The 14715-nt window shown below is 46.0% G+C and overlaps 1 protein-coding gene across 5 annotated transcripts in view; it reads left to right on the top strand.

The window, feature by feature from the left end:
- The window catches only part of ILKAP (ILK associated serine/threonine phosphatase), a 33294-nt gene extending 19412 nt beyond the window's left edge, over positions 1–13882 (top strand). For 4 of the 5 annotated variants that reach the window (NM_030768.3, XM_006712784.2, XM_017005058.2 and 1 more), the window contains 6 exons: positions 171–264; positions 544–631; positions 2098–2219; positions 10631–10750; positions 13260–13341; positions 13608–13882. In NM_030768.3, the coding sequence (NP_110395.1) occupies positions 171–264; positions 544–631; positions 2098–2219; positions 10631–10750; positions 13260–13341; positions 13608–13748 (647 nt within the window). In that variant the 3' untranslated portion in view covers positions 13749–13882. Of the gene's footprint in view, positions 1–170; positions 265–543; positions 632–2097; positions 2220–10630; positions 10751–13259; positions 13342–13607 lie in introns of those variants that run through there. The other variant, XR_007082537.1, reaches the window with a different exon arrangement.
- The last annotated feature ends 833 nt before the right edge of the window (positions 13883–14715 follow it).

Below are 14715 nucleotides of genomic sequence, written 5' to 3'. Positions count from 1 at the left end.
TGGGAGGCGGAGGTTGCAGTGAGCTGAGATCGCGCCACTGCATTCCAGCCTGGTGACAGAACGAGACTCCGTCTCAAAAAAATAAAACAAAAAACAAACCAAAATGACAGTGGGAGGAGGATAATCTTCCCTCCTTGAGAGATTGTTTTCTTTTGGCCCTTCTGTAATAGGAGATGTAATCAGTGTAGAGAAAACCGTGAAGAGATGCCTTTTGGACACTTTCAAGCATACTGATGAAGAGTTCCTTAAACAAGCTTCCAGCCAGTAAGTATAACTTGATGATGAAGTTTGAGTGGACTGTGTGTGGTGTTTTCCTAAATGCATTTCAGTCTTCTGATGTGGTTTAACACTATTGCTCACTGTCTGAAAAGTGCGTAGCACTCAGCTTTTATAACCGTTAGCTAAATCTAAAACAGAAAAAAAGCAAGTATCAAGGAAATGGTTCATTTTGAAATATAAGATACTTCCCATTGAGCTCTGGAAATTAGTCTCAAAGTGCTGGGCTATTGGTGGTGACTGTGTTTCTGATGTGTTTCCCCCCAGGAAGCCTGCCTGGAAAGATGGGTCCACTGCCACGTGTGTTCTGGCTGTAGACAACATTCTTTATATTGCCAACCTCGGAGATAGTCGGGTATGTGGCTCTGGAGCCACCCACTTAGATGACAATACGTTTTATGGGGAAAAGACTTTAGCACGTACTTGTTGAATAAGATTAAAGTGATGGTGTCTGGTTGAAACCTTTCTTCTGGGGTTGCTGCAGAGTGTTCTGCTGCAGTTTAACTTCTGGGTAAGGGAACAGCAACTCAGCTAGAGGCTGTTTGTTCTCTGGGGAACTTACGCCCTATGATAGACTTGTGCTTTAAAACCCAGATCCCGTCTTTTTTGTTTCTTTTTTCCTCCCGTGGTTTGTGTGTGTGATGCTGTGGATCAGAATGTAATCAGTATGCAAGTAGCCTAAATCTTCTTTTATTTCCTTTCTCTGACCTTAGACAGTAATGAATGAAAAGCTTTAACCCCTGCCTATCAAAGTTACTGTGATTTCAGAGTAACTTGAGAGCTGTAGCTAGAAAATACCAGATGAGGTGCCATTCATCACCCGAGCCCGGTCCCTGGCTGAGGGAGAAAGCCCAGGGTGTTGTTCCCCCTGGTGACAGTCGTGGGGATGCTGTAAAGCCTAGAGGGTGCTGCTGCGGAAAGCTGGATGCAGACCCTGCCTCCTCTGCATCAGGACCATGTGTTCCGTTCCGTTGCCGCTTTTTCACCCGGCCTCCTTGCTCCCTAGGCAGTCACAGGAATCAAGTGACTGTCCACACTTAAGCAGCATCTTTAGACCCCTCCCCACGATGCTTCTGGGGGGATGATTCATCAAATACTAAGTGCTAGGGGTATGGCAGAGACTATAACAGATGACAGCCCCTGCCTGGTGGAGTTTACATTCTGGTGGCCCTTTAGTAGACTGGCCTTAGCCCACATGTGTTTAGACCACATGACTTCAGAAATAGCAAGAGGAAAATTGGCAAAAAAACAAAGACAGGAGTCAGACCCAAATTTGAATCCTGGCTCTGCTCTGTGACTTTATTGAGTTACTTATTCTTCGTGCCTCAGTGTCTTCCTGTAAAACAGACACAATGAACCTGGCAGGGGCGAGAACACCTGGAGGCACTGGTGTGGACGGCCTACCTGGCACTCGGCCAGCATGCACAACGCTTGCCCTCCTCTTTGCCTTCCATAGGCTCATGGACATGTCTCTGGCCTTCTAGACTCCAGGCCAAAAGGGACCTTGATACTTGTTGAGTGCTTCCTTTCATGTCACAAATGTGACAACAGCCAGAGTGAGCACTTGTCTGTAGTTATTCAGCAGAGTTTGTACCAGAGTTGATATCAAAACCAGGGGCGACTCTCTCCCTAACTGTTGTGTCTTTGACACTTCTTTGCTGCTTGATTCTCTGAACTTACGTTTATCAGCAGGAGGCTGAATGTGAAACTCCATTGTTAACTGTTTTCTTCAAACTCCATTGTTAACTGTTTTTTTCAACTGGTACCTTTAGATGCTGCGCCCACTGAATTTCATGACTATTACAATCTCCATCTTCCCAGGCAATCTTGTGTCGTTATAATGAGGAGAGTCAAAAACATGCAGCCTTAAGCCTCAGCAAAGAGCATAATCCAACTCAGTATGAAGAGCGGATGAGGATACAGAAGGCTGGAGGAAACGTCAGGTAACCAAGGGACTGAGAGGAGCTCATGGGAAGGAGGGCTGTTAGCTGTAGAAGGGTCCCGAGACCTTCAAGGAGTAGAACTTCCCCTGTTACGTAGTCTTCAGTGTGACGAGGCTCTGTCTGAGATCTAACACTGGTGACATAGGTGGATGACAGTTGTAGATTTCACATGTGTCCACGTGGAAGGAAACTTGCCTCCCTACATTTGCAAAAGGACAAATTCATATTTACCATTCACAGTGTTTTCTCTGTGCCTAGGAAGTTTCTTAAATACTGTCACTTTTCGTGGTGGCGGGCGCCTGTAGTCCCAGCTACTCGGGAGGCTGAGGCAGGAGAATGGCGTGAACCTGGGAGGCGGAGCTTGCAGTGAGCCAAGATCGCACCACTGCACTCCAGCCTGGGCAACAGAGCGAGACTCCATCTCAAAAAAAAAAAAAAACCAAAAAAAAAACCTGTCACTTTTCACATTGAATAAGTTACAGTTTTAGGTGAATTCTCCAGAGAGAAAATCTGAAGTAGTTAAGACGGGTTAAGTAATGTCTTTGGACTTCTTGGGAACAACTGGCACAGAGGACCATGTCTTACTTGGCTCTGTCTTTTGCAGTTTCATTTCACTCTCTCTTTAAATCTTTGAAAACCATATGTCTGCTCTGGTTTTATTATCTGCTTCTATCCAAGGCAGCTAAAGGAGGGCATAAGTCTTTTCTTTAGAATTCCACTTCAAGGACATTGCATTATGAATTAGACCAGGAGTATTTTCTGGTTTGTTGTACAGTTTGACTATTAAAATTTTATTTTCTGCCAGAGATAAGAGAGATGTCATCTCTTAGTATAAGACTGCACTTACCTATCCTTTGAAGTGTAGTTTCTCTTCTGTTGTTCATTTGGGGAAGCCTTTTTTATTGCTCCAGGCTGAATCTAGTCAGTGGTACAGGGAGGTTTCTGGAGAGTAGTTGGAACCCTTAGCGTTTGTTCAAAAAGCTCTTGGATTAGTAAGAAGCAGTTTCATTCACGGTCGCTGCAGTTTACATGAGCAGTGATGGGATTATAGGCCTGGTTTCAGGCCTCAAGCAGTGCTGTTGGCCCAGTTTTTGCCACCGTAACTACTGTCCTGGTAACTACTGTGGACAGTCATGCCTGAGAATGTGACTCTAACATGAGCGTAAGCATCACCTCTTCTCCCCTTTCTTGTAAGTTTTACATTCATTCTGCTTTTGCCTGAACTCCTTGAAAATAATTGGATACTGACAGTCCGATGGCTGAAAGTAAGGCCAGTTGTGTTGCAGTTGCTTCCTATATCCCAGTCCTTACCTGATTCAGAGAAGTGTTTACATGCCTTAGAGAAATCATTTGACAGTGTGGGTTTTGGGTGACTCCTTCATCTCAGAGAAGGGCTGAGGCTAAGAGACCAGCAGCGTGGGTCGCTGCCCCTGAGCAGCAGAGCCCTGTCGTGGTCTGTTCTCCTGCCTGAGGCCAGGGCTGGCTGCCCCACTCTCAGCTTTTATCATTAAATTTTTCAGACATACAGAAGAAACTTGACAATAGTAAAACATTTCCAAATCTACTAGCAGTGAACATTGTGTCATGTTTAGTCTGTATAGATGTGTGTCAGGCTGAGCTGTTTAAAAGTTGCAGATATGATGACATAACAGCCTAAATACTTAAGCATGCATCTCCTGAAGATAAGGACGTTCTTGACATAATTAGTGAGAATTTTCACACCTAAGACAATAATATTTCCTTAGGTTAAGTTATCTAATACCCTGTCTATATTTTTATTTCCCGAGTTATCCCCAAAGTATCTTTGTTTCAAACCAGGGTCTAGTCAGCATCCATGTCTGCCGTGGACTTGGCATTTCTTTTTCTTTTTCTTTTTCTTTCTTTCTTTTTTTTTTTTGAGAGAGAGAATCTTGATCTGTTGCCTGGAGTGCAGTGGCACGATCACAGCTCACCGCAGCCTTGACCTCTGAGGTTGAAGCGATCCTCCAGCCTCAGCCTCCCAAGTAGCTGGGACCACAGGCATGTGCCACTGTGCCTGGCTATTTTTTTATTTTTTGGTAGAGACAGGGTCTCTGTCTGTGTTTTCCAGGCTGAGCTAAGTGATCCTTCTGCCTTGGCCTCCCAGAGTGCAGGGAATACAGGTGTGAGCCACTGCACCCTGCCGAGACTCATTTCTTACCAGGCTTTGAACCATGTTATAGGCCAGCAGTTGTACAGAGTCACCAATATTCTGAACCTGCGTATTTTTTTACGGTGTTATTTCTGTATATTTCCTATAAACTGGAAGTTAGGTGTAAGACCTTCTTTAGATTCAGATGAGATGTTTTTAGCAATGTTTTATGGGGGATGCTGTATACTCAGTAGTCCTTCACTTCAGTAGGCACATAATGTGACCCTTAATTAAGTTGCCAAATCCCAGCACTTGGCTCCGGTGGTGACAGCCGGATGCTCCTGTTGCCTTGCGTCATCAGCAGGTAATCTGGGGAGGTTCACTGGTACCTTGTGAATATTCTGTTTCCTGTCAGCCTTTCACCTAATGGTCTTAGCATCCCTAAATCATTATTTCATCAGGGATGTCAAAGATGATTTCCATATTCTGTGATTCTTTTCACATGTATTAGCGGGCATTCTGTAAAGAAACTTCTTATCATCAATAAGAGAACATCATAGATTCTTCTAAAAAAGCAGGGTCAATGTTTCATTCTGTCCTTTATCCATTTGAAAGGAAGATAGTCACCTATAGTTGTGGAAATCAGTGTTTTCCTTTCACTCCTCTGCTTCTTTCCCTCCATCCTTCCTTTGTGAATCACTGTGTGCCAACTGACTATTCATTGTGTTGTAGTCACAGTCATGGGGTTTTCTGCTGCTCACTTGATTTCAGATATGGCCAGTGGAAACTCCTGCTGGCTGGTTCCTGTGTCCTTTTCATATGTGTGTATTAATGTTTAAGAGCCAAAATCCAGGCTGGGTGCAGTGGCTCACATCTGTAATCCCAGCACTTCGGGAGGCTGAAGTGGGTGAATCTCTTGAGCCTAGGAGTTCAAGACCAATTTGGCAACTGTGGTGAAACCCCATCTCTACAAGAAATACCAAAAAATAAAAAAGAGAAATTAGCCAGGTGGGGTGGCACACACTTGTGGTCCTACTCAGGAGGCTGAGGTGGGAGGATTGCTTGAGCCTGGGAGGCAGAGGTTGTAGTGAGCAGAGATCATACCATTGCTTTCAAGCTTGAGTAACAGAGCAAGACTTTTGCTTAAAAAAAAATAATAATAATTGATTTACATCAGTGTAGGGAATAAATTTTTTTAAAAAGCCCAAATCCATGTTCTCGGGTGCTCAGTTCAGTTGGAGTGTCATTAGTTCTATGTCCACTCAAGACATGCAAAGCTAGGAAACACAACACATTTTAAATCGCAAGCTTGGAGTGCTATTTCTTACTCATATTTAACGTTACAGAGTTTTCTCTTCTTTGGTTTAATATTTGTAGCTCGTTTCTCTTAATGCTAGAAATCTTGGTTCTTAACAACAGTATATTTATTTGTTAAAACAGTTTCATAGTATCAAAATTATCACTACTAGGGGAGCAGAGGGCTCACACCTGTAATTCCAGTGCATCGGGAAGCTGAGGCAGGAGGATCGCTCCACGTCAGGAGTTTGAGAGAAGCCTGGGCAACGCAGTGAGACCTTATCTCTACAAAAAATAAAAATGGCACCATGGAGCCAGTTCTGGTGGTGTGCGCCTGTGGTCCCAGCCACTCGGGTGGCTGAGACAGAAGGGTCACTTGAGTCTAGGAGTTCTAGGATACAGTGAGCTATGATTGTGCCACTGCACTCCAGCCTAGTTGACAGAGTGAGACCCTGTCTCAAAAAATAAAAATATCCTAACTTTAGTTTGTGTTCCTTGCTGTTCTCTTGTCCTTAGATATACCTCACTAAAGCAGTACTGTTGGCACTGTGCGCAAAAGTGAAATAACTGTTTTTACTGTGGTTATTTTGCCACTTTGGTTATTAATATTATTAGTTTTCCATTTATTTTTATTCAGTTTATTGTTTTCAGTTTATCCAATTTATAAAGGGCTTTTTTCCCTTTATAAATTACAGGGAGAAAATGAGAACCCCTGTGCATGGCTGGTGGGAATGTGAAATGGTGTAGCCACTATGGAAAACAGTATGGCAGTTCCTCAGACATTAAACACAGAGTTAGCATGTGATCTGCAGTTCCACCTCTGCGTATATACCCAAAAGAACTCAAAGCAGGGACACGAACAGATATTTGCATACCTGTGTTCACAGCAGCATTATTCACCATGGGGAAAAGGGGGAAGCAACCCAAATGTTCATTGACAGATGAATAGATAAGCAACGTGAGATGTCTATATAACAGAATATTATTTAACCTCAAAAAGGAAGGAAATTCTGACCCATGCTACAAAATGGATGAACCTGAGGACTTTATGCTAAGTAAAAGAAGCCAGATGCAAAAAGACAAACACTAGAATTTCACTCATAGGAGGTACCAGTCAAGTTCACAGAAAGTAGAATGGTGGTTATTGGGGGGTGTGGGGTATGAATTCTGGGGAATGAATCGTGGGGTTAGTGTTTAATGGGAACAATCTCAGTCTGGGAAGGTAGAAAAAGTCCTGGGGATGGATGGTGGTGCTGATAACACAACAGTGTGAATATATTTAATGCTGCTGAACTGTACACTTAAAAATGGTTAAGATGGTAAATGTCATGTATATTTTACCACAATAAAAAACATGAAAAACTCCCTGTTGCATGCTTCAAAATCTAAATTGAGTAAAAAGACATTTAGAGATGTCATGCTTTCATCCCTGTCCCCTTCATCCTATTTCTTGATTCTTTCCAGTATTTCTTAACAAAAGTATGTAAATCTTTGTGCATTATTTTTTTCTACTTTCTTACATTGAAGGTAGCTATGTAGCAGTGAATTTTTCTGAGAAGATTAAGACAAGTTTTATTTTTATTTTACAAGGAAGGCAGCTGAACAGATGGGAAGTTTACATATAGCATTTAAATTTAAATGTCAGTACTGTGTGCCTAGAACTTGATCAAGTGCAGGCCTCTGATAACCAAAAGTAACTGTTCTAGCATTGTACCTTTGGTTATCTCTGTAGCACTCATTGTATTAATATGTTGGATTTAGGCATCCACCAGTCTTTGGATGGTCAGGAGATGGAGCTTCCACCTCCCAACCTTAACTTTGCAAACATCACTTGTGGATAGTCTGTTTATTGAGACCAGCTGTGTCTTGCTTTTACTGACATGCAAGAGGAGCTGAAGACCAAGCAGCTTCCAGCTGCCTTTAGCAGCCAGATTAGCCTTAAACACACAAGTAGTAGGATGTCTCAGTCTCACCCAGTCTCTCTCTCTCTCTCTGGAGAAAGAACAGAAAATATCAACAAAACTAGCTAAGATCTGAAGACACTGTTGAACAGCTTGTCCAACAGTAGGAAAACAGTTTTCTGGTTGGCAGAAAACAGAGAAGAGAAATAAAGCAGCACAAAGCAAAAGTTGGAAGTGTGTAAGGGCAGGAGGCCAGTCCTAATGAGGGCTGGTACCAAGGGACAGGCAGATTGGCTTGGTAGGCTGAGACTTAAAATGCCACTACTTGGCCAGGCGTGGTGGCTCACGCCTGTAATCCCAGCACTTTGGGGGGCCAAGGCGGGTGGATCACGAGGTCAGGAGTTCAAGACCAGCCTGGCCAGGATGGTGAAACCCCATCTCTACTAAAAATAAAAAAATTAGCTGGCACGGTGGCAGGCACCTGTAATCCCAGCTACTCGGGAGGTTGAGGCAGGAGGATCACTTGAACCCAGGCGGCAGAGGTTGCAGTGAGTCGAGATCATGCCACTGCACTCCAGCCTGGGCAATAGAGTGAGACTCTGTCTCAAAAAAAAAAAAAAAAGCCACTACTTGCTAAGCATTGTAATTATGAGGGTGGGGGGGAAACTGAGGGAAGGGGAAAGAGAATGAACTTTGGGCAGTTTGTTTGAACTTTGAAAACTGGGCAACGGGGAGAACCTGCTGTGAAACAGACAGCTTTCTATTGTGTCTAGAGTAGCGCAGACTTTCTAAGAAATGGATGTGGATAGAGTATGTATTGGTGGCATGCGCCTGTAGTCCCAGCCACTTGGAGGCTGAGGCAGGAGGATCATTTGAGTCCAGGAGCTTGAAGCTATAATGCGCCACCATGTCTGTGAATAGCCACTGCACTCCAGTCTGGGCAACATAGCAGGACCTTTTCTCTTAAAAACAAAAAAGAGTTCCGGTGAAATGGATAAAGCAGACTGGGAAGGACGAAGCCTGTGGGGCTGGTGGGGCTGAGTCCCAACCAGCTTCATCAGTGGTGATCCTTTTGAACTTGTACCAAAGTTTCCAGAACAGAGGTGGCATGGATTTACCCTTGTGTGATGCTCGATCTCAGAGATGGGACTCTGTGATTGGCCTTTGTTGAACTGACAGGTATTTGAATGTGCACATCCTACGTAGGACATCGCATTGAGTGTAGGCATAGTGCCAGGGCAGCTTGCCTCATCGTTACCAAACGCGTTTCCTGGGATCTGTCATTCTGTCCATTGTGCTTTCTCCTGTTACTCTAGCAGTTCAGTGAATGTAAGATTACTACTCTGTATATGGAACTTTGAAAACAAGAATGAGGCCACATTACGCCTGTAATCTCAGCACTTTGGGAGGCTGAGGTGGGAGGACTGCTTGAGGCTAATTGTTTAAGGACCAGCCTGGGCAACACCCCATCTGTACAAAAAAAATTTTTTTTTTATTTACCTGGACTTGGTGACACCTGTAGTTCTAGCTACTCAGGAGGCTGAGGTGGGAGGATCACTTGAGCCCAGCGAGTGATTGCACCACTGCCCTCCAGCCTGGGCAACAGAGGGAGACCCTGTCTCTTAAAAAAAAAAAGAGAGAATGAGAGATGGCAGTTCCTGTGCTGCTCATATTGTCCTTCTTTAGACTTAGAGATTGTTTCACATTGTCTGTACTGTGTTGTGCAGTACCAGAAGTTGCTGGTAGCTACTTGGTCTTCTGGGACCTGCCATTGCAGACGTGGTGATTGTAATCTTAATCTTGTTGAAACAGGATGGATTTATGACTGGGATGGCCGGAAGCCACACCAGACACCCAGTCACCTGGTCATGGGAGAGGTACTTTGTTGGCTTTTCATAGTACTTACACTGTGAGCTGCTTCCTGAAGTGGCACTCTTAAGGCCAGGTGCCCCCACCCATCTTCAGTCCTCAGCTCTTCCCCTGTGCACTGTTTCCTCTTGCTATTTAACAGTTTGTATCCTAGAAGATCGCTAGGCTTTTTGCAGATACCAGCAGAAGTCTTTGAAGAAGAAAAAACATGTTTGTTACGGATACTGACCTGTGAGCCACTGAGAGGGTAACTGGGGCCCAGAGAAGGGCCAGGCTGAATTCTGCCTTTAGGACAGCAGCCCAGGAAGCATTTCCTACCATGTGCAGCCATCTGCACCGCATCTCCTGAACTTGCTTGGTCCATGATTTGGGAGCCCCGTGGTGATCTTAAACGCCCATGCGCAGCCGTGGCATTTGCGGAGTGCTCTCTCACACGTTGAGTATGGTTCTCTGCCTTGCCTTTACAAACAAGGGCCTGAAGGGGAGAGAGCTTGCAGCTGCCTAAGGTGACAGTGCTGCAGCCTAGACCAGAATTGTTCTTTGGGGCAGTAGGCTTCCCCAAATGGTTTTTCCTTGGCAATAGGACTGTCCCTTAGATGTCTCTTCCCATTTGTAGATCACTGCCCCATCTCCTCCATATCCCCTCACCTAAAATAGAATGGGTGAAACTATGATGCTATGCAGGATACTGTCATTTACATTAACATTAAACCGTACCTGTACTTGATGCAAAGGACATGTGCTCCACAATCCAGGAATAGCCACTTTCAGGGATTTTCCAAATCTAATTAGATTGAAATGCAAAATATCCCTCTGTTCTAGCTATTGTTAACCCTGGCTGCATGTGGGAAACACTCAAGGAGCTTTAAGATACAAAACACTGCCAGGCTCCCTTACCCAGTCAGTCAAATCCGATTCTGGAGTTGGGACCTAGGTGTGTGATGAGAACTGCTGAGTCCTGTCGAAGGTTAAGCTGGGCAGCACTGCTTGGCAGCCACTGGAGGTGCTGTTCCCACCCATGTGCAGCTGGGCAGGGTCCCTACCCCAGGGCAGCAGTTAATGGCCTAGACACCCCTGCATATTTGAGATCAAGAAATGTCAGTAGTGGTTAATAATGTGAATTCCACAGTCTGTATCTTTCACACTTCCATTCTCTGCTTTTAAGGTGAGATTCTAAGTACTGTGGACCCATAATCTGTCAGGTAGAGTCTGAAATGTTTTTCCTCTCATTTTAGGGATGGGCGTGTTTTGGGCGTGCTAGAGGTGTCACGCTCCATTGGGGACGGGCAGTACAAGCGCTGCGGTGTCACCTCTGTGCCCGACATCAGACGCTGCCAGCTGACCCCCAATGACAGGTAAAAGGCCCTATAAGAGGCACAGGTGTGTGTGCATGTGGGTTTATTTCTCTTCCTCACTTCCAGTTTCTATCAAGCCTTTGTTGGAGGGAAGGTGTGCATGGTGCTAGGCCCTGGGGGTGCAGAGATAAACAAAATGTGGTTTCTGCTCTGGTGGGGTCCACAGTGGTAGGGGGGGACACATGGGGATGGGCAGCTGCAGTCCAGTGTGTCCTAGGCATGTGCTGTGTGCTGGGGTCTTTGGCAGTAGGGGAAGGGGTTATCCCTGTCAGAGAGAGGAGAAGGGGCTTCCTGGCAGAGGGAACACACAGTAAGGCATTAAAATGTGACAGTGTGAAAGCATGGCCAGACAGGCGCTTGAGGGACGGAGGGAGTGGTGGGAAAGTGATAGCAGGGTACTTTGGGGGCAGATCCTGAAGGGCCGGCCCTCAGCCCCATGCTGGAGAGTTTGAACTTTAGTTGATCATTGGTGGAGAATCATAGGTTTTTACACAGAGCCAGGATCGGTTGAGAAAGAGACAGTTCACCTGTTCATCTCCTGTTCTCCATGCCTAAGGGTACGGCACCGTGCTGGCTGAGGGCAGGGCCTCAACAGGTGATGGTTAAAGATGGCATTATGGGGCTAGGGAGGCCTGTGAGCAGCGGTGCAGCAGCCCTGGCCTGATGATGAAGGGCTGAACTAAGGCAGTAGCAGGAGGGGTCAAGGAAAGCTCCCGGAAGCAGGATTCACAGCACTGAGTTGATGAGGGGAGGCCAGAGACACTAGTGGCACTGTGGCGAGTGGGCCTCCGAGTGCTGCTCTGAGTCCCGCCCCAGTGCTGCGGATGAAGAGCGCGTGCCTTGCTTTGGCACTCGCCTGCTTGGCCTTGTCTTGAGCCACTGCCCCATTCTCCACATCTTCTTCAGTGTGTTTGTCATGTTCTCACGTACCGCGGGGTCCTCCATCATCTCTCCAGCAGCCGCCGCCTCTGGTGTTCTGAAGGATGCACCTTCTGCTTTGCTTCCTAGCTCGCCTTCCTGGGTTGTAGTCATGGGTCTGTGTGATTGGTTATTGAGGGTCTGAGTCTCAGGACACTGGAAGGGGTGGGAGCCTGCCAGGACTAGGCCCCACGGTGTTCTCAGCATGGACGATAGGCTCGGCAAGTAGCGGCCGAGTGAAAGCCTAGTTAAACGAGGAAAACAGGCTGGGTGTGGTGGCTCACGCCTGTAATCCCAACACTTTGGGAGGCGGAGGCAGGTGGATCACCTGTGGTCAGGAGTTTGAGGCCAGCCTGGCCAACATGGCAAAACCTCATCTCTACCAAAAATACAAAAATTAGCCAGGCGTGGTGGTGGGCGCCTGTAATCCCAGCTACTCAGGAGGCTGAGGCAGGAGAATCACTTGAACCTGGGAGGCGGAGGTTACAGTGAGCGAGATCATGCCATTGCTCTCCAGCCTGGGCAACAAGAGGGAAAGTCCGCCTCAACAACAACAGCAGCAGCAGCAACAAAAAACAAAGAAAAAAAAACACAAAAAAACCCCACAGATATTACAGTGAGAAAAGGAGGGTGGCTTATACCGCAAAGCTGTGGGGATGCGTATTCCCCACCCCCAATGCCAGGAAAACTAGAACTGTCACATTGAATCCATTGGTGTTCAGAAAGATTCCAGGGACGGTCTAGGGGGGTTTGATTCTGAAAGGGAGAGCATGTGGTTTTCAAACACAGGAACACGCACAGCTGCCCCTTCTTGGGCCTCGGTCTTGGATGCAGCCCCAAGCTGTGCAGTGTGTGCCCAAGGATGTTTCACCGAGGCTGGGCTCATTCTCAGCTTTATGTCTGGAAGTGGTGTAAGGCCTATGGTGTTATAAATTCTTGTATATTTACCATAACACCCATGTTTTTATTCAGTGATTTTTCTGGAGTTTGCCTAAGAAAGTACAGCACCTAATGTTTGAGGTAATTAATAATTCTGTTAATTGGCGAAGAGAAGGATAGTCTCAGTTTTGATGTATAACATCCTATCCACAAATACTTGTAAGTAGTTTAAACCTTTGTCTCAGAAATTAAGTGGGTTTAAACAAATCTTAGCCTGGCCAGGCGCTGTGGCTCATGCCTGTAATCCCAGCACTTTGGGAGGCTGAGGCAGGTGAATCACCTGAGGTTAGGAGTTTGAGACCAGCCTGGCCAACGTGGTGAAACCCTGTCTCTACTAAAAATACAAAAAATTACCCGGGCGTGGTGCCGGGCACCTGTAATCCCAGCTACTCAGGAGGCTGAGGCAGGAGAACAGCTTAAACTGGGAAGGTGGAGGTTGCAGTGAGCCAAGATTGCGTCATTGCACTCCAGCCTGGGCAACAAGAGTGAAACTCCATCTCAAAAAAAAAAAAAAAAGAAAAAAGAAAAAAAAAACCTTAGCCTTTGAATAGTTGGACAAATATTTATTTTATCTCCATCTCCAGGCCCTTTTTTTATTTTTTATTTTTTGGTTGGGCCTAAAACCCGTTTATATTTCTCCCTGGTGTTGTAGGTTCATTTTGTTGGCCTGTGATGGGCTCTTCAAGGTCTTTACCCCAGAAGAAGCCGTGAACTTCATCTTGTCCTGTCTCGAGGTGAGAAATCTCACACGGGGGTGGTGGTTGTCCCAATTGTGTCTTAGTTTTCAGAGAAGTAGAAGTTCTGAGACCCCATTTCCTCCCATTGTGGGACAGCCCTTGTGCCCTTTTTCAGTGTGAACTCTGCCTACTGACTCACTGGTCAGTTTGTCCTGCCAGCCCTGATGGAGACCAGAGCAGCTCTTCTTCCTGGCAGTCATGTCTCAGGAAAGTGACAGGGTGCGGGGTCACTCCATTCACTCATTCCCTTTCTCATCTGGTAGGATGAAAAGATCCAGACCCGGGAAGGGAAGTCCGCAGCCGACGCCCGCTACGAAGCAGCCTGCAACAGGCTGGCCAACAAGGCGGTGCAGCGGGGCTCGGCCGACAACGTCACTGTGATGGTGGTGCGGATAGGGCACTGAGGGGTGGCGCGCGGCCAGGAGCACGCATGGTATTGACTTAAAAGGTTCATTTTGTGTGTGTGCACATTGTGTGTTTTGTGTACTCCTGTGGGACTCCCATGGTTGTAAATAAAGGTTTCTCTTTTTTTTTCCTAGTCTTTTGAGTTATTATACTGTGAGCACCTCTTGACCCTTCAGAGATTGTGTTTGCTTTTGAATATGCTGTCTTTCCTTGTTAAAACCATTATAGGCATCTTGGACTGGCTCGTAGTGGCCTGCAGGCTGCTGGTTGTGTGATGTTTTGTAGTTCACGGGCATTTTGCTGTGCTTTCACTGTCATGATGACCCTGGTTGGGGAAGTGGCATGTTGCAATGAAGAGACCCAGGGGATGACTGGTTAGTCAAGGCTAGGCCCAGACCAGGGCTTTGGGAACCCTCTAGCTCTTTTCAGTTTTCCCTATGGAAATAGTGTTGCAAAATGTTACATAGCATGAGCTCAGGCTTAGCCAGGAAATAGACTCATAGACAAGGTTACTCATGCATCAGACCTGCCAGAAACAGTACAGAATTAGCCATTCTCATTCCATTGGTGAGAGCTGCAGTCTGGTGGAAGGAGTCTGTGGAGGACTCGGTTCAGTGGCTTCCATCTGGACTCCCTGGGTGTAGGTGTGCACCTTCCTGTTGGAGCAGGCAGCCGGCTGCTCAGCATGGCCCGGAAATTCTGCTTCCCACGTGAGGTAGGTGTGGGGAGTTGGCCCTGTGCTGGAATGAGGTTAATCTTTGCAATAACACCTCAAAGGGGGACACTTCTGTTAAAGATGTTAAAAGCATGAAAAGAGTGCATGAAGAATAATAAGCTCAGAAGAATAAGCTTTAAAATACTTTTCAAGCACTTGTTTATATAGAAAACGTCATCATTATGACTGTAAGTAGTTTTTAGTAAAGCAGCTCTTGGATCCTTTTGTGTAAATGTTTGGCTCAGGATGAT

Source organism: Homo sapiens, chromosome 2 (genome assembly GCF_000001405.40).
Source record: "Homo sapiens chromosome 2, GRCh38.p14 Primary Assembly".
Taxonomy (NCBI): domain Eukaryota; kingdom Metazoa; phylum Chordata; class Mammalia; order Primates; family Hominidae; genus Homo; species Homo sapiens.
The sequence above is the reverse complement of the archived record's forward strand: the minus strand, read 5'-3'. Positions and strand labels throughout refer to the sequence as shown.